Source organism: Homo sapiens, chromosome 17, assembly GCF_000001405.40.
Source record: "Homo sapiens chromosome 17, GRCh38.p14 Primary Assembly".
Taxonomy (NCBI): Eukaryota; Metazoa; Chordata; class Mammalia; order Primates; family Hominidae; genus Homo; species Homo sapiens.
In genome coordinates this window covers 7834059-7854893 of record NC_000017.11, presented here as the reverse complement: position 1 = coordinate 7854893, position 20835 = coordinate 7834059, and the positions used below count along the sequence as shown (strand labels likewise).

General features: G+C 60.2%; 2 protein-coding genes and 1 long non-coding RNA gene across 4 annotated transcripts, besides 19 other annotated features; 2 read left to right on the top strand and 1 right to left on the bottom strand.

The window, feature by feature from the left end:
• Positions 98-20677, bottom strand: KDM6B (lysine demethylase 6B). Of its 2 annotated transcripts, NM_001348716.2 has the most exons (24): positions 20544-20677; positions 14870-14988; positions 9874-9993; positions 9438-9580; positions 9203-9344; positions 8924-9022; positions 8597-8816; positions 8402-8494; positions 8154-8315; positions 7878-8075; positions 7442-7789; positions 5166-7348; positions 4947-5073; positions 4717-4822; positions 3668-3873; positions 3500-3564; positions 3345-3416; positions 3098-3246; positions 2829-2943; positions 2558-2745; positions 2258-2399; positions 1768-1894; positions 1514-1684; positions 98-1396 (listed from the first exon to the last, which is right to left on the bottom strand). In NM_001348716.2, the coding sequence occupies exons 5-24, from the start codon at positions 9337-9339 to the stop codon at positions 1373-1375; spliced, it is 4932 nt and encodes a 1643-aa protein (NP_001335645.1). In that variant the 5' UTR covers positions 9340-9344; positions 9438-9580; positions 9874-9993; positions 14870-14988; positions 20544-20677; the 3' UTR covers positions 98-1372. The 2 variants fall into 2 exon arrangements, with proteins under 2 accessions (NP_001335645.1, NP_001073893.1); NM_001080424.2 differs by lacking the exon at positions 20544-20677 and having other exon boundaries at positions 98-1684; positions 14870-14977.
• Positions 1142-2106: an enhancer, noted in NCBI's record as "H3K27ac-H3K4me1 hESC enhancer chr17:7756106-7757070 (GRCh37/hg19 assembly coordinates)". NCBI's record gives its function as "activates a minimal SCP1, AML or CMV promoter by ChIP-STARR-seq in primed H9 embryonic stem cells {active_cell/tissue: H9 hESC(primed)}" and the evidence as "EXISTENCE:reporter gene assay evidence [ECO:0000049][PMID:30033119]".
• Positions 2107-3070: an enhancer, noted in NCBI's record as "H3K4me1 hESC enhancer chr17:7755142-7756105 (GRCh37/hg19 assembly coordinates)". NCBI's record gives its function as "activates a minimal SCP1, AML or CMV promoter by ChIP-STARR-seq in naive H9 embryonic stem cells {active_cell/tissue: H9 hESC(naive)}" and the evidence as "EXISTENCE:reporter gene assay evidence [ECO:0000049][PMID:30033119]".
• Positions 2107-4035: a biological region, named in NCBI's record as "H3K4me1 hESC enhancers GRCh37_chr17:7754177-7755141 and GRCh37_chr17:7755142-7756105".
• Positions 2680-2909: an enhancer, noted in NCBI's record as "active region_11649". NCBI's record gives its function as "activates an Ori minimal core promoter by ATAC-STARR-seq in GM12878 lymphoblastoid cells {active_cell/tissue: GM12878}" and the evidence as "EXISTENCE:reporter gene assay evidence [ECO:0000049][PMID:35858748]".
• Positions 2889-3183: an enhancer, noted in NCBI's record as "tiled region #3930; HepG2 Activating DNase matched - State 25:Art". NCBI's record gives its function as "activates a minimal TATA promoter and a strong SV40 promoter by Sharpr-MPRA in HepG2 cells {active_cell/tissue: HepG2}" and the evidence as "EXISTENCE:reporter gene assay evidence [ECO:0000049][PMID:27701403]".
• Positions 3071-4035: an enhancer, noted in NCBI's record as "H3K4me1 hESC enhancer chr17:7754177-7755141 (GRCh37/hg19 assembly coordinates)". NCBI's record gives its function as "activates a minimal SCP1, AML or CMV promoter by ChIP-STARR-seq in naive H9 embryonic stem cells {active_cell/tissue: H9 hESC(naive)}" and the evidence as "EXISTENCE:reporter gene assay evidence [ECO:0000049][PMID:30033119]".
• Positions 3098-4436, top strand: LOC107987244 (uncharacterized). The gene is made up of 2 exons (XR_001752777.2): positions 3098-3437; positions 3573-4436. It is a non-coding gene; the product is annotated as an uncharacterized LOC107987244 (long non-coding RNA).
• Positions 3240-3349: an enhancer, noted in NCBI's record as "active region_11648". NCBI's record gives its function as "activates an Ori minimal core promoter by ATAC-STARR-seq in GM12878 lymphoblastoid cells {active_cell/tissue: GM12878}" and the evidence as "EXISTENCE:reporter gene assay evidence [ECO:0000049][PMID:35858748]".
• Positions 9366-19486, top strand: LOC124904106 (translation initiation factor IF-2). Its single transcript, XM_047437265.1, has 4 exons — positions 9366-9440; positions 9955-10017; positions 11030-11255; positions 18250-19486. The coding sequence occupies exons 1-4, from the start codon at positions 9366-9368 to the stop codon at positions 19275-19277; spliced, it is 1392 nt and encodes a 463-aa protein (XP_047293221.1). The 3' UTR covers positions 19278-19486.
• Positions 9672-9791: an enhancer, noted in NCBI's record as "active region_11647". NCBI's record gives its function as "activates an Ori minimal core promoter by ATAC-STARR-seq in GM12878 lymphoblastoid cells {active_cell/tissue: GM12878}" and the evidence as "EXISTENCE:reporter gene assay evidence [ECO:0000049][PMID:35858748]".
• Positions 9942-10161: a silencer, noted in NCBI's record as "silent region_8145". NCBI's record gives its function as "represses an Ori minimal core promoter by ATAC-STARR-seq in GM12878 lymphoblastoid cells {active_cell/tissue: GM12878}" and the evidence as "EXISTENCE:reporter gene assay evidence [ECO:0000049][PMID:35858748]".
• Positions 10702-10891: a silencer, noted in NCBI's record as "silent region_8144". NCBI's record gives its function as "represses an Ori minimal core promoter by ATAC-STARR-seq in GM12878 lymphoblastoid cells {active_cell/tissue: GM12878}" and the evidence as "EXISTENCE:reporter gene assay evidence [ECO:0000049][PMID:35858748]".
• Positions 12202-12511: an enhancer, noted in NCBI's record as "active region_11646". NCBI's record gives its function as "activates an Ori minimal core promoter by ATAC-STARR-seq in GM12878 lymphoblastoid cells {active_cell/tissue: GM12878}" and the evidence as "EXISTENCE:reporter gene assay evidence [ECO:0000049][PMID:35858748]".
• Positions 13042-13201: a silencer, noted in NCBI's record as "silent region_8143". NCBI's record gives its function as "represses an Ori minimal core promoter by ATAC-STARR-seq in GM12878 lymphoblastoid cells {active_cell/tissue: GM12878}" and the evidence as "EXISTENCE:reporter gene assay evidence [ECO:0000049][PMID:35858748]".
• Positions 14955-15455: an enhancer, noted in NCBI's record as "H3K4me1 hESC enhancer chr17:7742757-7743257 (GRCh37/hg19 assembly coordinates)". NCBI's record gives its function as "activates a minimal SCP1, AML or CMV promoter by ChIP-STARR-seq in primed H9 embryonic stem cells {active_cell/tissue: H9 hESC(primed)}" and the evidence as "EXISTENCE:reporter gene assay evidence [ECO:0000049][PMID:30033119]".
• Positions 17106-17255: a silencer, noted in NCBI's record as "silent region_8142". NCBI's record gives its function as "represses an Ori minimal core promoter by ATAC-STARR-seq in GM12878 lymphoblastoid cells {active_cell/tissue: GM12878}" and the evidence as "EXISTENCE:reporter gene assay evidence [ECO:0000049][PMID:35858748]".
• Positions 18126-18175: an enhancer, noted in NCBI's record as "active region_11645". NCBI's record gives its function as "activates an Ori minimal core promoter by ATAC-STARR-seq in GM12878 lymphoblastoid cells {active_cell/tissue: GM12878}" and the evidence as "EXISTENCE:reporter gene assay evidence [ECO:0000049][PMID:35858748]".
• Positions 18796-18855: a silencer, noted in NCBI's record as "silent region_8141". NCBI's record gives its function as "represses an Ori minimal core promoter by ATAC-STARR-seq in GM12878 lymphoblastoid cells {active_cell/tissue: GM12878}" and the evidence as "EXISTENCE:reporter gene assay evidence [ECO:0000049][PMID:35858748]".
• Positions 18876-19295: a silencer, noted in NCBI's record as "silent region_8140". NCBI's record gives its function as "represses an Ori minimal core promoter by ATAC-STARR-seq in GM12878 lymphoblastoid cells {active_cell/tissue: GM12878}" and the evidence as "EXISTENCE:reporter gene assay evidence [ECO:0000049][PMID:35858748]".
• Positions 19844-20343: an enhancer, noted in NCBI's record as "H3K4me1 hESC enhancer chr17:7737869-7738368 (GRCh37/hg19 assembly coordinates)". NCBI's record gives its function as "activates a minimal SCP1, AML or CMV promoter by ChIP-STARR-seq in naive H9 embryonic stem cells {active_cell/tissue: H9 hESC(naive)}" and the evidence as "EXISTENCE:reporter gene assay evidence [ECO:0000049][PMID:30033119]".
• Positions 20546-20705: a silencer, noted in NCBI's record as "silent region_8139". NCBI's record gives its function as "represses an Ori minimal core promoter by ATAC-STARR-seq in GM12878 lymphoblastoid cells {active_cell/tissue: GM12878}" and the evidence as "EXISTENCE:reporter gene assay evidence [ECO:0000049][PMID:35858748]".

Below are 20835 nucleotides of genomic sequence, written 5' to 3'. Positions count from 1 at the left end.
CACCCTCGCCAGGGTCTGCGCAGTCCTCCCCATCAATCACGGTCTTGCAGCCCTCCCGGTACTCAACCTGCTACCACCAGCCGTTAGCGAAACAGGATTTTTTTTCTCCGTTTATTTTTAATATTAATATTCTCACACAAAAATCACCGAAAATAGGGGTAGGGTTGGGAAGACCCCTCTGCCCCTGGGGCAGAGAGACAGTGCAGTGCGAGGGTGCGGGACTGTAAACCCCCCACCCCTCCGCAGCCCCAGCGTGGAGAAAAAACAACCAACAAAACGAAAATAAAGCCCCAGAGAAACTCACCCCGGGGTGTCCCTGCCCCAGTGAGGCCCTGGCCCTGGGTTGTTTCACACTTAAAAAGAAAAGGGGGTGGGGGTGAAGGTCTGTGTTTTTTAAAGTTGGCCGGGGCTGGGAAGGACGGGGTTCCTTTTCCTCATAGTTCTTTCTTTAAAACCTTTAATTTTTTTATTTTATTTATTTTTTTTACAAAATACCATTTCAGTTCCCACTTCTTCCCCTACAGTACAGGAGTTGCTCACCCTCAGGTGGGGCTGGGGTCGGGTCGGGAGTGGGGGGACTGGTCCGAGAAAGTGCAGGACGTAGGGGAGGGGAGCGGGTTTGAGCACCATGAGAACCCGGCTGGAGCCGCGGGCGGACGGGTGGAGACGGTCGGGCCGGGCCCGGACACACACTGGGGCGCGGGGAGAGCCCGGCGACGGGCGGTCCCTGGAGGGGCGGGCAGGATGGCTTGGGGGTGTGGGAGGTCGGGTTTTCCCAAAAATGAATAAATAGAGGTGAGTGGGACTGTTATAAATTAAAAACAAAAAAACAAGAAAAGAACAAAAAATACAAATCATAACCAAGTGAATAAAGAGACATGTACAGGGGTCACAGCTAGCATTGGAAGTAAAAAAGGAGGTTCCGGGGGAGGGGTAAAGCCCATAGAAAGAATCTCATTAAAAACCTCGGCTGCCGTAACGTCTATGTACATACACGAGCCGCGTGCATCTGCGCCGGGCGGGCGGGCGGCTGGCAGGGTGAGGGAACCCGTATGTGACCCCCGCCGCCGCCGGAGCCTGGTCCTTGTGTCTGTTGCTAAAAAGGCCAAAGTCGGTGAGGGGAGGCGCTGGTGGGCGAGGGGCTGCCAGCCCCCTCCCCCGTCTCCCATTTTTTTTCCTTTTTTCCTCATATTTGCTAAAAAAAAAAAAAAAGTTTTTCTTAATAAATTAAGTGAGGGGAGCTGCCAATGGGGTGGAAGGGCTGGGCCCGACCCCCTTCTCGGCCACAGGCGGGACCTAGGTCCAGCCCAGGCATGTGCTGGTGGCCCCGCGGCGCCTTGCGCGGGCAGGCAGGCGGGCGGGGCGTCCGGCCTCATCGCGACGTGCTGGCTGGGGCCTGGGGGGAGAAAGCCGGCGGGGGCTCAGGGAAAGGCGCGGCCGGGCTCCCGAAGCCCGTCCCTGCAGCCTGCCCCAGTGCCCTCCTCCGCTGCCCGCGCGCCCGCCGGGCCCTCACCAGCGTGAAGGCGTCGTAGGCCTGAGCCAGCTCCTCAGTGCGGTACTGCTCCAGCACCACCACGCCCTGCAGGCCTGCGCTGCGGCGCCGGGCACAGCCCTCGCAGTGTACCAGGTACGTGTTGCGGCTGCCATTCTCACTTGTCACGAACAGGATGTTAAACACCTCCACCTGGGGCAGGGAGGACAGTGCAGTCAGGGGGAGGGAGGGCCACTGTGGACACTCAGGGAGAGCAGCAGAGCCGGCCCACTCACATCGCACTCGTTGCAGTAGTAGGCTGGCTCGTCCTTGACACGGCCCTGGTAAGCGATTTTCTTCCCTGCCCGCACCAGGCTCTCGCGTTGCACCTGGCAGTGCTTCATGGACTGCAGCAGGCAGAACCTGGGGAGCAGTGGGGTTGTGTTGAGACCACCGGCAAGGAGGAGGCCTGAGGCAGGGCTGGAGCAAGGGCAGAGGGGTGGGCAGCCCCAGGGCCCTCCCCTAGGGGCCTCCCCGCTTCATGTCTAGGTCACATCCTCTGTCCTGGGCATCTGTTATAGGCGAAGTTTCCTGTGGCTTTTGTCTATTTGGACCACTAGAAAAGGTCATGACAGCAAGGACCTAGTTAGCCTCCCCAACACAGTAACACTCGGGGCACAGGCAGACAAGGATGGAGAGAGGTAAAAATGGGGTGGAGTCAGACAGGAAGAACAAGAAAAGGGACCAGTCAGTGGAGGTGGGCTCCCACCCAAATAGGGTCCTCACTTGATCATCTTGAACAAGTCGGGGTCGCTGATTTTGACCGTGCGAGCCACGTTCCATGACACGTGAATCATGGGCACGATGGATTTGACGTTCTTCACCTCATTCCACTCGTATCGTTCCAGGGCCAGCTGGTACTGATAGGCTGCGGGCCAAAGGCGATCACAACAGGACTCTCAAACAGCCCCCAGACACCTAGGCCCAAGCCCCTTCCCTCACTGCTGGCGGCTCTCCAAGCCCCAGCCTCCCAGGCCCTTGCCGCTGAGGCGCCACACCACGCCAACACCTGCCCCACCCTCTCACCGGTGAGGGGCCCCACGTTCCAGGCAATGTTGTTGCACCAGCCGGTGGCCTGCACCCAGTGCACAGTCCCCGCATTAATCCACACGAGGTCTCCGGGTCGCTGCACGAAGCGGTACACAGGAATATTGGATGCATAGAGATCATCCAGGATTGGCCACCAGGAACCCGTCAAGTAGTCCACGCCGTGCCTGCGGGGTGGCCACAGGTCAGGTGGGAACTGGGGACCGAGGGCGGGGACGCGGCAGTCTGACTTGCGCAGGACGGCACGCACCGATCACAGAAAGCGCTGATGGTCTCCCAGTAGTGCTCGTGCACCGCGAACCACTCGCAGTCGCCTGGGCCAATGTTGATGTTGACGGAGCAGAAGTTGTTATTCTCCTGGTGGCCTGCAGGGGTCGACAGAGAACGGCATGGCTGGCCAGGTCGGAACTGCGATCCCCGATAGCCCCGCCCTCTGCCCTCATTGGCTGACGGCTGAGCGCCGCCGCCAGCCCCTCCTCTCGCGCTTCCAGCATCAGCGCGCACAGGCGTGGAGCGCACCTGGCGTTCGGCTGCCGGGCACCTTCATGTACAGCTGCACCGTGTTCATGCCCAGGATGGTGTGGCCCACGTGGCTCAGCATGTTGCCCGTGGATGTTACCCGCATGAAGGCGGGCAGCTTCAGCAGCTCCTGCAGCTGGGGCTTCCACCTGCGGTGCGGAAGTGCGACGAGAGGCTACACCCCGCCCCCGCCACGAGGTCCTAGCAGCACTCCTGCCCCAACTTCCCTGGCCTCAGCCCCACTGACCGCTTAGCATCAGACAAGTCGATGTTGGTGCCAAACTTGATGATGTGATGGTTCTTCGGGTCTGGTGCGCTGCTGCTGGGGCGAAGAGCACAGGTTGGTGGAGAGCAGAGGGAGGGGAAGGAAGCAGGAACAGAAGGGGCACACCTGCACAGTACCTAGGAGGGGTTCCAGTGGTGCTGTCTGGCTCCTCTGACTCCTCATCCTCACTCTCCTTCTCCTCCTGTTCAGCCAGAGGGTAGGCAGGCCTGGGTCAGAGACCTTTCGAGAGCCCTCCCACCGCAGCCCCGTCCCAGGACCTGCCTCTGGCCACGTTCTCATCTCACCTGCAGAGACTCCTGGAAGGATGAGGCCTGGTACTGTGCGTACTTGGCAATGGTGGTGTGGGAACGGGAGCTCTCACAAGGCCAGATCTGCCGAGTGCCTGTCAGATCCCAGTTCTCATCTGAGGGCTGCTGCACCTGGGTGCGAACTTCCACGGTGTGTTCGCCACTCGCTTCCACCAGGGTCTTGGTGGAGAAGAGGCCCAAGTCTGGAAGGGAGGGCCGAGCAGGGTGTCGGGGCAGAGGCAGAGGATAGGGACCGAGGACCCAATCGACCCTTTCCCTTCCTACTCCTCTGGCTCTGACAGGGTGGTCATAGGTTTAGCAGAGCTCAGCCCAGAAGAAATAGGCAGGAGCCCTAGCCCCACAGGAAGCTGGGAGTGCTGGCCTCTATCTGCATCCTCACCAGCCCTCTTTCTCCTGCAGCTGCTCAAGGACTCAGCCCCTAGACCAGTGTTCCCAGATGTGTGCGTGGCCATGTGCACCGCACCTGACAGACACATAGTAGGTGCTCAATGAATGGCAGCTTCTTTTTTCCCCATTTGGAGTCTAGTCAAAACAGCAGCTTCTTTGAGTTACCATTGGATCCAATTAAAGATTAAAGATTCAGTCAAGTGAAAGCCTGAAATGTGCTTCAAATAACTCAGTGTGGGGAAGGGAGAACATACAGGTATAAAGGAGACAAGATTGACCTTTGTATTTCTATACAGCTTTCTCTAATTTTGTATGTGTTTGAAATTCTGCGCAATAAAAGACTGAGAGAGAGCCCCAACATCACAGATTTTCAGGGGTTTTCTAAAATCTGTATTATTCTCTTCCTTAATCACCAAAAAATTCAGAAATGACTAATCAGGCCCTGACTATGGCCCCTTCTCCCTTGCCAAATGCTGGAGACAGACAGATGGGAGAAGAGCCCAAGGCCAGCAGACCCATCACTCAGTGGACTCCTCACGGCCACTGTCATGAGTCTTCAAGTGTGGGATTTCTCAGAGGGTCCTACATGCCCCAGACCCTTGTAGCCCTCCCTAACACTTTCTGCCCCCCATACTCACTGAGCCGCAGGGAGCCCGCCAGGCCCCGGATCACTGTGATGGGATTTCGAGGGTCTGTACAGAACTGCAGCAGGACAGGTGAGAAGGCATCCCGTTTGCTCTCCAGCTGAGACATGACCAGGAGAGCTGGGGTCAGAGCCCTGGCCCAGGCTCAGAGCACCCCAGCAGTCCCCAACACTGTCTTAGAACCCTCTGGCAGGGGTGGTTCTGAGGCCAAGTGGCACACATACATAGATGCTGGGTGTAGGGGGGTTGAGTTTTTCCCGGGGCAGCTTCTCCTCAGTGTTGATCTTCGGTTTCACAGACTGGGCAGGGGAAAGGTAGGACTCTCGAAACTTCCCTTTCACCTTGGCATTCCTGCGGGAGGACAGTGGAATGAAGACAGAAACATCAGGGTGATGGGGGAAGGGAGCCTGTCTCCGGGACAAGCAAGCAGGCAGCCGACTCACCTGCTGGCGCGCACGACGTCAGCAGCACAGTGGCTGATGGTGAGGTCTGCCATGCGCAGCCGCCGCTCTTCCACCTCAGAGGCGATAAAGGTCTCCTTGTCACCACTCTCTACCTTGATGAGCCGGATCTTCAGCTCCTTGGGGGGCCCCTCACTAAGTGAGCGCAGCTTCAGCATGTCGGCCCGGCTGACACCCGGTGGCCCTGGGGCTTCCTCCCGAGCCTTCTTTCCAGGGACAGAGGCTGACGGGGGTGTGGGCTGGGCAGAAGGTGCAGGAGCTGATGGAGGGGCTGGAGCTGTGGGTGGCTTGGCCTTGGAGGCCCCGCCAAGATCGGGCCGGGACTTCTCACGACCCTGGATCTCCTCGCTCTGCAGGTCCAGGTTCCCCAGCACCCGGCGGCTCTTTTCTTTGGGGACCTTGGCCTTGGCCTTTGCCCTGCCCTCACGGGGCCGACGACCCACACTGTCCTTACAGGCCCGCCTGTGCCGCCGATGCTCCTTCTGATGCTCCTTCTGTCGCCGCTTACAGCTGCCTGACACTGCCGCCACCCCGCCAGCCTCCTCCTTGGCCTGTGCGGGGGGCAGCAGTCGCTCAGTCCCACTGTCCGCTGGCTCTGCTGTGTCCACTGGGTCGGCTGGGTCAGTGGCACTCCGGCCCACCCGCTCCACAAGGGTCTCGCAAGCCCGGCTGATCTCTTCTAGCACCTCAGACTCAGAGCGAGCAGGGGGCAGAGATAGGGGTGGGGGCGGTTGGGTGGGGGTCATGGGGCCCGGGACTGGCTCTTCGCCCGCCCTGCGCTCCCGGGCCCAGGGCCCGCCTGAGGTAGAGAACTGAGATGACGAGGAAGCAGAGGGCTGTGGGGAGCCCTGGGCGCTAGGGGCCGCTGAGGTGGGCGGCAGGGCGGTAGCACCTGATGGGGGGCCAGGGGAATACTGAGTGGTGGGCAAGGGCCCAGGCCGGGTGGAAACAGCTGCTCCAGTCCCCCGATAACAGTACTTTTGTCCCTCCAGCACGGAGGCCAAGGATTTGAGCAGGCTGGCCGGGCTGGGGGGTGGGGGTGGTGGTGGCTGTGGCTGAGAGGGTGGAGGGAACTTGGCTAGAGGCGGTGGTGGTGGTAGGGCTGGTGGTGGCTTCTTCTCCTCTTCCTGGGTGGCCGTGGTGGTGGTGGTGGTGGTGGTGGTGGTGGTGACGGCGACAGCAGGAGCAGTAGTGGTGGGGGCTGTGTCGGTGGGGAAAGGAGACTGCAGAGATGCAAAGGGCTCCTTCAGCGGGGGTTGGGGGGCCACGCCTGCTTCGTGTTGTTGCTGTTCCTCTTCCTTGCGAATGGATTCGTCCAGCATCTTCATGATGTTGGCCAGCCCATCAGGTAGGATCTTGAATTCGGCTGGCTCCTCAAACTGGTCCTCCAGCGGAGTGGGGGGAAAATCAAAGAGTCGAGGGCCTCGGGCAGGCAGCTCCCCAACCCCGGGCGGCACAGGCTGGGGGGCTTTACTCAGGGGGCCTGGGGGTGGCCCCGGCCCCACCTCGGGGGTCTTTGGGAAGGAGACCCTGGGCCGGGGGCTCTCCGGGCGCCTGAAGCTTCCTGAGGTATTTTGGTGGCAGGAGGAAGGAGGGGCTGGAGGCAGGGCAAGAGTCAGGGGTACAAGAGGTGGGTCCTGGGGGTTCTGTGCTGGGCTGGGAGGCCGGGGAAGGGGGTCTATACTTCTGGCCAGATAGGGTGGTGGGGGAAAGGACACAGGCCCAGCAGGGCTGCTGCTGTGGCTGCCACTGTTGCTGTTGCTACTGCTGGTGGTTGGGGTTGGGGGAGTGGGAGGGGTGTGAGAATCCTGAGTGCCCACAGAAAAGCGGGAGGCCGGAGGCCCCAAGAAGCCCTCGCGATGGGGGAGGGGTGGTGGGGCAGGGCGGGGGGGTCCCTCAGTCCCAAAGAAGAGCTCTTCTAAGATCTCTCCATCCTCTCGGGCTGCCCGGCAGGCCGGACCCTTCAACCAGGCAGGGGGTGGTGGGGGGCGTAAGAGGCGGGGACAGGGGGGTGGAGGGGGTGAGGAAGGTCCAGGTGGCAGGGATAGGTGGGGAGTGGCAGCGGGAGCCCCCAAGAACGGTTTCCGACTGCTGTGTGCCGAGGGCCCCAGGCGGCCATGGTGAGAGACCTCCAGCGCGGGAGTTTGGTAATGGTCAGCGCCGGGCTGCAAGTGTAGAAGCAGGTGGTAGGAGCATTGCTCGGGCTGCCTCAAGACAAGCTCCACCCATCCCCCCCTCCACCCTCAGTTGTCACTCACAATGCCTGGGTTCGGCTCCACGCCCCGGAGACCAGTGTTGCTGCTGCTGCTACTGCTGCTGCTGGTGGTGGTGCCGGGGAGGCCAGGGGGCCGGGAAGGGGCGTAAGGCACGCAGGCGGTGGTTGCTGCTGGTGAAACGCTGGAGTCCATCCGCGACCTCTGAACTCTGCTCTCTCTAAGGTCACTTCCGGGGGGACGGGTGGCAGGCAGGCAGCCATGGCTCTCTGCTCCTGGGGGGCGGGGGCCTGGGCCTGGGGGAGCAGCCGGGACCAGCCGGTGGCCAGGGGGGTGCGCGGTGTACGCTGGAGCTGGGTATGGATATGGGTGAGGCAGCGAGTGCCGCTGCTCCTATAGGAGATAAACAGGGATGCAGGATGAGGAATAGAGAGCGTGGGACTTGTAGGTGAGAGGTGAAAGGCAACAGGCAGGGGCTCACCTGGCGCTCTGGGGGTGCTGAACCCTTGCGCTCTGGGCCCCAGGCATCTCCATGCAGGGTACTCCACAGCCCTGGCTTGGTTAGCTGAAATGGGGGGCTGGTAGCCAGGCCAGGCAGGGGTGGTGGTGGTGGTGGTGGTGGTGGTGGTGGTGGTGGTAATGGTGGTGGAGGCAGTGGCAGCCCTGGGGGAAGGCCAGTCTAGGAGAGAAGAGAGTGTGAGAATCCCATTCCCAAGTCCTGCCTACTTACTGCCTGCTGGCCCCCCTATACCCACACCTGTTCAGAGTTGCAGCCTCTCCTTCGCTTGCCTCCAGGGCTGAGGCCCTCCTCCCCTGAGGGGCCTGAGAGTGCTGCAGGAGGCACAGGCTGCACCACTGGGGGTTCAGCAGCTCGCTTCACCGGGGGACCTCCCCGCTTGGCTCCATAGTTCCGTTTGTGCTGAGAACAAAAAGAGAGAAGAGAAAATGGCACGGGTGCAGGCACAGCCTGGCTCTCCTCCCTAACCCACCCAGTGCCAGCCTCACCTCAAGGTGTAGCAAGTTCCACACTTGCTCCAGTGGGGGCAGGACCTTGGCTCGGTGCTGGCAGGAGCCAGTATGAAAGTTCCAGAGCTGGGCCTGGGGGTGGGGGGACACGGGGCAGGGGCAGATGTCAGGTGGGGCACTGAGCCAGAAGGCACAATCGTACAATCCCGTCCCCCACGCCCTGCCTTCTCCTACCTGCTGCAGTCGGCCAATGCGGGGCCCCAGCTCAGCGAAGCTTCCTCCGTATCGAAGGGCGCTGTGGTAGCAGCGTGTGGCCTCCTCACTATCGTGCTCTGACTCGTACAGTTGCCCAAGCTGTTCCCAAAGCCCTGGCTGGGCTGGCTCCCGGAGCAATGCCTGCACACAGCCATGCAGGGATTCCAGCTTCCCATGGAGGGGTCTTGGAGTGGGCGCCCTACAGAGCAGAAGGGGTGGGGGTGTGGGTGGGGGTTGGGCTTGAGGGGACTCTTTCAAGGCCCCAGCCTTACCTCCCACTCCCAGAACCTTCAAATATCCACTCACCCTGGAGCATAATATGGTTTGCTGGGGTGCCCAGAACTACTGCCATGTGAAGGGGGTAGGGGAGCAGGAAGCGGGGGCTGCCCAATGCTGGCTGAGCATCTGGAGAGAGAAGGAGTCTGTTATATACGGCAAAAAGGAGCAGTCTTGTCCTACCTAGGCAGGAGGGGGCTGATGCACGGAAGCCCACAGAATGACAGGAACCCATGGAGAATGACACAGATTGAGGGATACAGAGATGGAAAGAGGTGTGCCTGGAGACAGAGGGCCCCAACTTCTCACCTGCCTCCAGGCAGCCATGCGCTACGAGGAGGGGGATGAGGCGGGCAGGAGCTCCAGGCCCCAGCACAGCTCAGGCCCCCAAGGGCAAAGGCTTCCCGTGCAGCGCGGGCCCCTGGAGGGTCCACTGCCCGATGCATCCAGCCTGAGTTGGGGATAAGAAATTATGCTCTTACTGGAGGCAAAACCAGAGCTGCCAGTGTACATCCAGCCAGCTCGGCCCCAGAGTTTCCCTTACCAGGTCAGCAGTGGCCCCAGGAGCCCTGGAGATTGGGCACGGCCCCCTGCCCCAGCTCTCTGGGACGATGGTCCGGCTCCAGCCGCTCTGATAAGAGTGCCCGCTACCCCCAGATGGCTGCCTCAGTCCTTTCACAGCCAATTCTAGAGAGAAGGAAAAGGAGTGAGACGAGCTGGCCAGCACACAGTCAAGGCCCAGGGGCTGGGATGGGCGGACTGTGGCATCCACCAATTTGTCATTTGTGCAAAGGGCCCGGCCTTAGCTTTCCCCAAAGGGAGGCCCGGCCCAACCACTCCCTAGAGGCCCAGGAGTGTGGCTGGGAGTCAGGACGTGTGTGGCAGGGAACCAAAAGGCCGGTCAGAGGGACGGGGTGGCTGCGCTGCCAGGCTTCCAGTCCGGAGCCACTGGGCCGACCCAAAACGCAGCGGCCGCTTACCCGGCCTCCGTGGGAGCGTCCTCACACCGCGTCGGCAAGCTCCAGAGATCTGGCCAATCACAGGACTTCCTCTCTCCCCAGAAAGCCAATCATCACCCGTGTCTCCGCCTCAGTAACAGCCTGGCCGGAACCAATGGGAGCGAGGTGAGCCCGGCAGCGGTGGCCGGGGGAGGAGGGGCGCGGGAGCCGGTCAGACGAGCTCAGCCCGGGGTGACCCCGATGTGACCCCGCGGCTCCCACCTAGGGTCCCCATCTAGGATCCGACACTCCGGCCGTCAGGGCCAGAAGGCAGCCAGGACAAGACGCATGCGGATGAGGCCGGTTAGTCGCATGCTCCGGCCGGCGTGGGGGCCGGCGCTACCCGCAAGCCTCAAGCACCCAGAGCCGCCGGTGGCCACGGCCAGGCTGCTCGAGTAGCCCCACGCCCGGCCACCGTAAGACCGACGGACGACAGACGGATGCAGAACGCAAAAAAGACGTCCCTCCCCTTCCTCACTTCACCTCGCCCAGTGACAGACCTCCCTACCCCGAGCGCCCCTATTAACTGCTTAGGGCTGGCCAGCCACAGCGACTTCCACGGCACCCAAACCCGTCCGCGCCGCTATCGGCGCTCCACCCCCAACGCCTGACCCCGACCCAAACCTTGGTCAAGCCCCCAGTCTCATACCCAGTTCCTCCAGGTCCTCTACTTCCCCTGGCTTTCTGGGTCTTCAATACCGACCGACCCCCAAAATCAGACCCCTTTTAGTCCCCCAACTTCCGAGAAGTCGCGCACCGCGGTCCCGAGTGGCCCCTCTCTCGTGGCTCGCGTATCCTCTCTGCCCTTCCCCGCCGGGGCCACGCGGTTCCCCACGGCCCACGTGGCCCCCGCCCCCCAAGGGAGGGGGGATTTCGGGGGTTGCCCGTGACGTGGCTACTTGCGCAGCGGAAGCGGTGTGTGTAAATGTACTGCGGGGGGGGGGGTCCTGAGGGAGGGAGGAGGGCGGGGCCCGACAGGCAGTGACATCACCCTTGTCCCACTCTCACCACCCACTCCCTTAAAGAACCCAGAACTCGTTTCACTTCCTCCTTCACGCCCCCCCCACCCTTTCGCTTTGGTGCCGACTGGACCCCCGACTGGCACAGCGCTCCCCTCTCTTGGGCACCTTCCCTTTAGCCCCAGCTCTTCCTTCTCGCCTCTCTGAGCCCAGGAGCTGCGTCCCCGCGCCTCCTCCTTGCCTACCCGGCGTCCCCGCAGGTAGGGAGCCGACTCGGCTCCCGGGATCGGTCCATTGAGAGTCTAGAGTACAAAGAGCAGCGAGAGGCGAGTGTCGAGTACAAAGCCGCGGGGGCGGGGCCAGCGCTCCAGCTGGAGCGAGCGCCGGGCAGGAAGCCGGGGGAGAGTGCGCGACGAGGGGCTGGGGGTGGCTGGAAAGTTCGCGTTCGTTGAGAGAAGTCTGCGCTGTGGGGAAATTTCCACCCAGCCCACAAGGGCAGACGGGTTTCTGGTGAAAAGAGCCTTCCTTCCCGAAGGGGCAAGGTCGTTTGTTTGCATGGAAGCGCTTGGACCCTACAGGTCCCTGCGTGCCACTCTCCGCCAAGCCCTTGTGGTCGCTTGGGCCCCGCGGACCCTCTCCGCGGTTCACGTGGTATTACTGTCAGAACTCTCTCCTCACTAGAGGCAGCATCCTTTCCATCAGTAACCAAGCCAGGTACGGCGCTGAACTGTGGTCAAGTATGGCCCTCCGTGACTGCCCCCACCCGAGTACCGAGGCAGGGGCGGGGAGGAGACCCAAGAACCAGACGTGGAGGGGGAGCCGGGGAACCAGACAACAGAGGGGCAGATGCCTGCTTGGGAAGTGGTCCCGAGAGCGCCGCCAGTTACCAGGAAAGGCAGCTTCCCCTTCGGCGATGATGACACTTCCCCTCTGCCACTTCCCCTTTCCCACGGGGAACTGACTCAGCTTTCCCTAAGTCAGTGAGTGCCGTCCCTCCAGCTCCCTGCTCTTCCACCTTTATCCACAAAGCCCCACGCCAGCACCCAAGAATACAAAGCCCTCACTTGAAGACAAAACTTCCTGTACACTAAACACACACTCATTCTCGCCAGCCACCTCGGATCCTTGTCCGCACCCGGGACCCAGGCGCTGGACTCCTCACTCGCCCCCCCGCCCCCCGTACAAAGCCCTCCCTCGGGGTCTGATTCAGGCTTGGGGTGGGGGAGCGTGAGTCACCCAGAAAACCTTCCCCTCTTCCCACTGACTCAGCCCCCGCCTCCCTGAACACACACAGACACACAGTCAGAGGCAGACACAACTCCTCAGCCCACACACCGGCTCACCACCGGTCCCGCGGAATTTCCCCTCTCGTCTTCCCCCACGATGGCCCCTCCCCGTGCCGGGCAGCCCCGACGCGGCGCTTGCACCTGTTCCCCAGTCGCCGCCAGCTCGCGCTCCACTCTCACCTCCACTCTCGCTCTGGGGCAAGAATAGCCCTCCCTGACTCCCGGTGTCTATACTAACCAAGGGAAGGGAACCACGGACAGGCACAAAGACTGACACCCACAGACTCCTCGAAGACAGGCGAGAGGTAGACGCACGCGGCCAGAGCCAGGCTGGGAGATCGATATACTTCTGAGGCAGACATTCCAGCCTCTCCCGACCCGACCCACAACCTCGGGAGCCAGCGGCTCTGAAAGGGTTAATTCCGCTCCCGCCGAGGCCACACCCTCTCCATCCGGGCACTCCCGGCGAAGCCCAGCTCCGCCCCCTCCATCCGGGCCCTGGACTCGGGACTTTAACCGACCCCCTACCCCCCGCCCCCGCTGGAGCCCCAAGAGAGAACACTCCATCAATCACACCCACTTAACTCTCTCTGGGCTTGAGCCGAGGAGCCCCTCCGCGCAGCGCCGCAGCCGCGCGGGACGCGTGGTAAGAGGCCTGAAGTGCGCACGCAAACTCACGTGACGGCCAGAGACAAGAGCCCGCAGATAGGGTTTTACCTAGCCGGCAATCAGCGGGCATGCTGCGCGCGCGCCGAGGTGGGGCGGTCCAGGACCCTCGTCGCAACCCGCTCCCTGCCCGTCCTCATCACGCCTGGTGGAAGCGAGGGGTTACACGCTCGCTTCTTACCTGGGGGAGGGGGAGGCGGAGGGGAGGGCCGCCGGCTGAGGCTCCGCTGTGACTCAGCCACCCGGGCAGGCCGCCCGCCCGGGATTCCCTTCCCCAGCCTTCCCCCGGCTGCCGGCCCCTCCCCGCCCCCCACCGAGGAGTGACGGTGCCGGCCCCGGCCCGCTATGTGTCACTGCAGGCCTTGTGTCTGCCTCTGACTGGGCGCTGTGTTCACCAGTCTGTCTGACACGGTCGGCTGTGCGTGGGTCCCGGTGTCTGTCTCCGCGTGCACCTGCATATCTGCTCATCTTGTCTCCCTCTGTGCCTGTGTCTGACGCGTTCCTGTCATTATCCCTGTCTACATGACTCCGCGGGGCTGTCTCTGTCTGTGTGTCTGCCTAGCTCCTGTCTCGGTCTTTTGTCTGGGTCTGCCTCTGCATCACTAGCGTGATCACGTGTGTCTCCGCACATGCCCTTCTGTGTTTGCCTTCATGTTACTGAACAGAGTCGGGGCGACACTGGCGCAGGCCCACCCTCCTGACTCCTTGCTACACTCCTCTCGATCCTGACGTCTCGCTGGATCAGTGATCATTCTGTCTGAGTCAAGAATTTGGAGGTCTGTCTGCCTTCAATCAAGTTCTGTCCCATCCCTCGACATCCCTGCTTATCCTCAGAGCTCCCTGTGGCTCCCACTGTGGTGATAACTGCTAGCATTTTGTGAATATTTGTTACATGCCAGGCACTGTATTAAGTATTTTACAAGCATTTCTTTTACTCCTCCCCAAAACCTGACATAGGAGGTACTCTGATTACCCCCATTTTACAGATGAGGAAATTGAGGCCCAGAGAGGCTAGGTGACTTGGCCAAAGTCATTCTGCAAGTGAAGAATGAAAGAGCTAGGCTTCTTTCCAGAGCCACATTCTTACCACTCTTATGTACTGCCTCTGTCCTACTCTCCCTCCCTTGGTTTTATCCTCACAGGCCATCTCCTGGGTCAACCTTCCTTTCAGCTCTACCCATGTTACCATCCCCAATGTCTCACGTCCTCTAGAGGATAAAGTAGGAGGCTGTGCAGCAAATCTCAGAAGTCATAGGTTCTTCATAATGAAGCTCATTCAGTTAACATTATTCAACACAAATCCACCATGCACCCCAATGTGCAAAACATCAAGCAAAATAGTGAGAGACACATAGAAGAAAACAGTCCCACTCGAGAAACCCCATATGTAATGAGGAAGAACAACACAGAGAGAACTTAAGCCCCTGGCTTAGGGATTATCTTCCCTTTTCTCCTACAAAGGAATGGGAAATAAAGCAGGGCCTCAGGCAGAGAACTGACAGAAGGAGAGAGGGAAGCAGAAGAGTAAGACTTAGGTATGGGGGCAAATGCTATAGTGCAGTGGGGAGAGAATGGGACTGAAAGAGATCTGGAAGGAAAGGTGAAATGCCAAGACTGCTGTGGCTGGCAGTGATCTCCACTATCTCCCCAAATAAATTCTGAACACCCTCCAAAAGCCAGGGTGTTCAACAACTCCTATAGGGACAAAGCTGTTTCCCTACCAAGAAAAAATTCCTCCAGGGTAGCTCATATCCACTTTTCAGCTTGCAAACTCCCTCTTCATTTCAATAAGCAACTGAGTTGTAGCACTAGGGAGATAGTGGGGAAAAGATTTTTTGGTAGTAGTGGAGAGGCTGGTGAAGTACAGGGCTGAACCATTTATAGGAGATAGAAGGGAGGTCCATAAACCAGGAGGGCTGAACCACTCAAGCACCACATGGTGGGGTGCTTAGAATTGGACTGGACCATTCTGAAGAGTGGGCATGATCCAGATCATACCGAGCATCTCCAACCATGTGGTGCAGAGTTAGACTGCTGAGGAGAGAGGGTCACTCAGACAGGACTTACCAGATGGAGTTTGGTGTGCCCTGTCTCATTGGAACCACCACCCCAGCAGTGGGGTACAACAGACCACAGTGGGTGGGGTGGGCAGTGCTACGGGGCTGGCATGTTGCCCTGGGGGGAACCTAAAAGAAAAAAGTCAGTTAGAGGTGGGGGTCTTCCAGGATGGAGAATTTTCCTGGGCTCCCTGCCCCCCTCATTAAGGAGAAACCTGGCTCTGGTGGTCAGATATGATGGGAGAATCTTGTTTCCATGGCAACCAGAAAAAGCCATCCCCAAAGTGGTCATCCAACCTTCCCCTTTGGGAAGCAGGCTCGATCAGTTGGTAAGGGGCCATGATATGGCATCTGAGTAAGTCTACAGTAGACCCCAAACCCGTGATCCCTCTTCTGACAGGACGCTCCTGCTGAGACTCCCTGGCCTGAGTCGCCCCAGCTGCCCTGACATCTGTACACAAGCCAGCCTGAGTCCTAGCACCAGGGCATGCAGACCCTCTTCCTTCAGCTCTGTGTCCTCTCCAACCTTATCAAGACACCAGACAGTCAACCCCACCCTCTGGACTCTGCCCCCTCTTCTTCCCCCAGGCGGGTGCAGGCAGGTCTTGGCTAGCAGCACAGGTAGCCAGACTAGATGAACGGGCCCAACAGGGAGGGGCCATCCTCCCCTGCAAGAACTCTGACTCTGGGCCTAAGCCTGGAAGTAGCCTCCACTGCAAGCCTCCCCTCCCTGCCAACCCCAAGGCAATATCCTGTTTCCCCATCACCTCCTTCCTCTTATGTGGCCTAAGAAGGTGATACAGGCCCACTCCCTTCCCAACCCTCATAGACAAGAAGCTAGGTCTTTTAGCATAAGTCCAAGGCCAAGAATCAGGTGTCCATCAGGGGTCAGAGCTAAGTTGGCCCTCACCTCAGACTCGCTCCTCAGGGACCTATGTTTTCTGCTCCCTTAATCATAGTTCTCTGCCCTTATGGACCCAAACACTTGGGGTCCCAATCTAATCTCTATATTCCCTAGCCTTCCGGCCCCCATCCTTCCCCTTGCCTCAGAGACTCAGGCCTCTAGCCCCCAGTCTCCATGATGCAATGTTCCGCAAGCTTCTGTGGCTGCTGATGACACTGCCCCCAGGGAGGTGCTATTTGTGACCCACCAAGGCCTCCTTCCTAAGCCAGGGTAGTGGTCAGCTGTAGGTGGTAGAGGTCAGGCAGGCAAGGCCCTTCTGCTCGGGAAGGGAGCTTCAGGCTAGAACTCTCCAGGACAGGGAGGCTCATAACCTGGGAGCAGAGAGTGTGTATCTATAGTCTGTGGCATCTGTGTTCTGCGGTTGTGCTGGGGGGAGGGACTAGGAAAGGGCTAGTCGAGAGCAGAGTGGGCAGACTTTAGGACAGACCAAGAGGAGGAGTGAGGGGGAAGCCTAGGGGGTCAGAGGGTGTGTGAGGGGTGTCTGGACAACAGAGTGGGGGAGGGGCTAACAGCCATTTAAAGGGCCAGCCCCAGAGCTTTAATCCCTCACCAGCCCTGGCCCCAAGCCGGAGGCTGTAATTCATCTGTCCAACAGCTGGGGTGTGTGTGTTTGTGTGTGTGTGGGGGGGGGGGCTTCCTCCCCCTTCTATTCCCTCCCTCCTCCTCCCCGTCCCTGAGTCCCGGAGTCAAACAAAGAACTGTAGCAGGCTCTCCCCAACCCCCTCCCTCCTCCTCCTCCTCCTCCTCCACCTCCTCCTCCCCTCCCTCCCTCCCCACCAGCAGGCTCCCTCCTCCTCCCTTCCGGTCTCTTCCTTTAACTACCCGCCCCCCCAGCCCCCAGCACTAGTCTCTCTCCACCCACCCACCCCAACCTTTTACACACCCCTCAGCCTAGCCCTGTCCCCACTAGAGAAACTGTGGAGTCCCTCTGCAAAACGAAAGGCTCCAGAGATCAACACGGGAGGGGGCTGGGGTCTTGCTTCAAAATCAAGAACCATAATACAATTATTTTATTTTCAAGGCCCACGGAATAGTCTTAGCTATTTCTTGTCCAAGAGAAAAAAAAATAATCCTAAAGAAAGCAATACAAATCTGCCTAAAGCCTTCATCAAATAAAATGCACAAAGCAGTTGAAGCTAATCCCCAGCCCCCTAACCCCAATCTCCAAATTAACACAAACTATCCACTACCCCTTAACAAACTCCTACGGTTACCGCTGGTTTGGAGCAGACCCACAGCAATAATAATAAACTAGTAACTAACACCATTTAATAATAAAAGTATTTCATAACAACAAGCACTCATTCTGTGTTCATTCTGTGCCAGGCACTGTGCTAAGTGATTTGCATAAATTATCTCATTTTTTTCCTCCCAGCGGCCTTCAAGGTAGGTGTTGATATTTAAATGTTCAAGATTAACATACGAGGCTCAGAGAGGTTCTGACCTCTCCAAGTCCTAGTAGCCACTAAGTGACAGAGCTAGAATTAGAATCCAGGTCTGATCTGACAGCCCAAGCTCTAAGGTACATAAAAGCACAAACCGATTCATTCCAATACCATCACCAACCCTGGGACTTAATAGAGAAGAACAACCATAGCAATCAACTGAGTCCCCCTCCACCAAGTGAGAGGCTACAAACCGATTCACCCGCATACACACAATAAAGACCCTGACTTTTCAGCCTAATACTGTTTCTTGACCCTTTTCCTTTCATTGTTTGCAGATGGGGGTGTGCCATTATGGGGATTTCAGGGATAAGCTGGTGTGTAGTGAACCCCCCCCCATACTACACACAACTCTTCCGTCTTTCAACCACTCCCACTTCAAATCAATCTGGGGAAGGGGGCAATAGGACACTTGGCCATGCAGCAGGTGGGAAAGTAAAATGACGGCTAGGTAGCTTTTTCTATGGGGGCGGAGCCTTGGAGGGGAAGCTCTTCTGTGCCAATCTAGGGAAAAGTGACCCAAGGCTCCCTCAGCCCAGCAAAGGGGCAAAGTCTTTCAGCCACACCACACCCGTGCCCCTCCCCCTCACAAAACTCCAGGCCGGGGTTTCCCACCTGCAGGATGCTAAGACCACGGGAAGGGAGAGGGGAAAGAGATGGCACGGGACTGGAACTGGACTCGGGGCAGAGGTGGGAGGGAATAGAAGGGGGAGGAAGCCTCATTGCCTGGCAACCATCCCGGGGCACGTGCACTAGTGACATCATCCCAGGCCACCTCTAACACAGACCTTTGACCCCTACGGGGCGGAGTGGGTGTGCTGGCTAAGCTTCCTGGAAACACTGGAAACACCCTTAGGAATTCTGGGAACCCAAAAAGGAGACATAAGAAGAAACCCAGGCGTCCTTATCTCTTTTACCCCTAATACGACTCCAATCCCAGGGACTCAGGCCTCTTGCCTGTCTCCTCCTCTCCGCCTGCAGCCCTGACCTCCCAACCCACATTTCTGACGGGAGTCGGCCCGACACGCCCCTCGGAGATACTGTGCCTTCTCTCTCCTGGGCGAGATCTCGGTGGGGGCCGGCAGGCGGGGACGGGGGCACCGGGTCCCGCGGGGCTCCGTCTTCCATCTGCAGGATCCCCCGTGCCCCAGCCGGCCGCCAGCCGGAATCTGTCTGGGTCCCCAACTCTCCCGCCCCTCCCCGCGCTGTTCCAGGGCGGAGTCTGTGGAGTTGAAACCAGGACACGGCGAGAGGAAGAGTTATATAACCGGGAGAAGCGAAGAAGGACGAGTGGAGACAGGGACAGACAGCCCGAAAGGAGCCGAGGGAGGTGCAAAGAACGCCGGGGCGAACGAGGAGGAAACGTTAGGAATGGGAAGGGTTTTGGTGCACATCAAAGAGCAGGAATTCACGCGAAGAAGGGGCGTGATGGCCCAGAAGAATCACCTGGGCCGTCCGGGGCTTCCCCGCAGTGCCCTCCTCCGCCACCAACAGCAGCTGGGCCCGGGCGGGAGAAGCCTTGGGAAGGGGCGCTGGTACCCGCTCGCTTTCTCTTGGGAAAGCAACTTAAGCCAGAGCCCGGGAAGGCAGCGGCCGAGCAGATGGGGCCGGAAACCACAGCTCCGCCCAGCCCACCTGGGAGTGTGGGGCGCCAGCTGGGGGGAGGTGGGGAACAGGTAGTCGGCCCTCCCGAGCCAGGCTGGGCATTATGGTCGCGACCGGCGAAACGGTGCAGACCGACCGAGACGTGTGGGTCCCCAGGGGCTGAAGAGCGCAGCCTCAGGCGGCTTTACACAGACTCCACGAGGGGAGGGGGGCGCCCGGCTCGCCGCGCAGGCGCAAGGGGGTGCTCGGGCGCGTGCGGCGCAGGGCGGGGGGTGGGCGCGAGCGTGTGGGAGTGCACGTGCGGGTCCCAGGCAGCTGCTGCCTCCCAGCCTCCGCCGCTGCCCCTCCCCTCTCCCTTTCCTGTCGCTATCATCCCCCTTCCCCATTGGCTGCCAGGGCCCTGACGTCAGGGCCGACCGCTGGAGCGGATTGGGCGGACGGGAGAGTTCGGGAATCCGGCTCCCAAGTCTCGCCCTCCAGTTACTCTGGCAACAGGACAAGCAACCCAGGGGAGGGAAGGGGAGCCGAGGTCAACGCTGCGCCTCGGTCCCTAACCCCCTCCGGACAACCACCGAGTCCCCTTCGGTCGCGGCGCAGCTCGCTACCTCCCCGCCTTCCTCCCAGGGCTCTTCCTGTCCCGGGAACCAGGCGTCCTGCCCTCGGCCTTCCCCACAGTCTTCAGGCCCTCCGCTGTCTCTAACCCCCACCAGTGTCACAACATAAGCTGCAGCAAACAGGAAGCGAATCTACGTCGCTTAGCAACCACCCCGCGTGCCCCCCTCCCCACTATTTACCCCAGCCGGGAGAGGCGGAGATTGAGTCCCCAGCCCCCTCCCCGTCTTCTGCGCTGCGACCTCCTGCCCACAATTTCCTGTGAGGGGGCCCAGATCACAGGAAGTCAAGTGGGGGCCTCAGCCTACCTTTCCCTCGGACCGGGGCGGGGGGCTTCAGCTACTTTCACGGTCACATCCCCCACCTGCCCTGGGTGCGTCTCGCCCTCGCCATCTTGTGGCTACGTTGGGAAGGCTCCGCACCGAGAAGCCGTGCGGGGCGCGCTAGGGTTCGGGAACGGCGGAGTGGGAGAAGGACTAGGGATGAGGAGGCTAGCGGGGCGAGACGGAGTGAAAGGGAGGCGCAGGGGGGTGGTGGGAAGAAGGCGAAGGCTACCGCTGGGAAGCTCTCGGGGCCGCTGGTGGGAAGGTCAGGCTGAGGCTTCTACACCTCACCCGTGCAGAGAACTGGAGGGAGACTTAAAGTAGTCCTGGGACCGGGACACACCCAAGTCTGACCACATCTGACCTTACTGGGCCATGGCATTGACCTGTCTGCAAACTCTGCCCTTTAGTCCTGCCCTTCAGTAAGGACCGCCGCGCCCCGCCCCGCCCCGCCCTGGAGTCGGGAAGGGGAATCCCAGCCCAAGGGGAACGGGGAGTCCTTTCAGGCCCCTCTGGACATTTGGAACCTGAGACATCTGCCTCCCAGTTCTTCCTCCTTCCCCGCCGTTCTCTCTTCTAGGGGACCCATGACCTCCGCCCCAGTCTTCTTCCCAGTGCCCTTCCCAAGACCCAAACGTCCATCCCCAGCTCTACCCCTCCAGAGACTCAGGCGTCCTGCCCTGCTGCAAGGAGAGGGTTTCCCTCTTTACAGACGTCCTCGCGGCTCCCCGTTACCTGGTTCTGGGGGGGGTCCCAGGTGTTCAGGCTCCCCAAGGTATCCCAGGGGGTCGAGCGGCCCCCCCTTCTCCCAGGCCGGGGCTGGGGGGGCCGCTCCGCCCAGTGGCGCAGTTGGATTTTCCAACACAAACACCCGCACCCCCGCTCCCCAGCCCCGCCCCCTTGTGGTCCCGCCCCTCCTCGCGCTCTAGTCCCCCTCTCCGGCTCCGCCCCGTCTTCTGCCGGTCCCGCTCGCCTCAGGGCGGGTGCCGGCTAGGATGCCGGGTGCGGGGTGCGGGCTTCAGGGTGC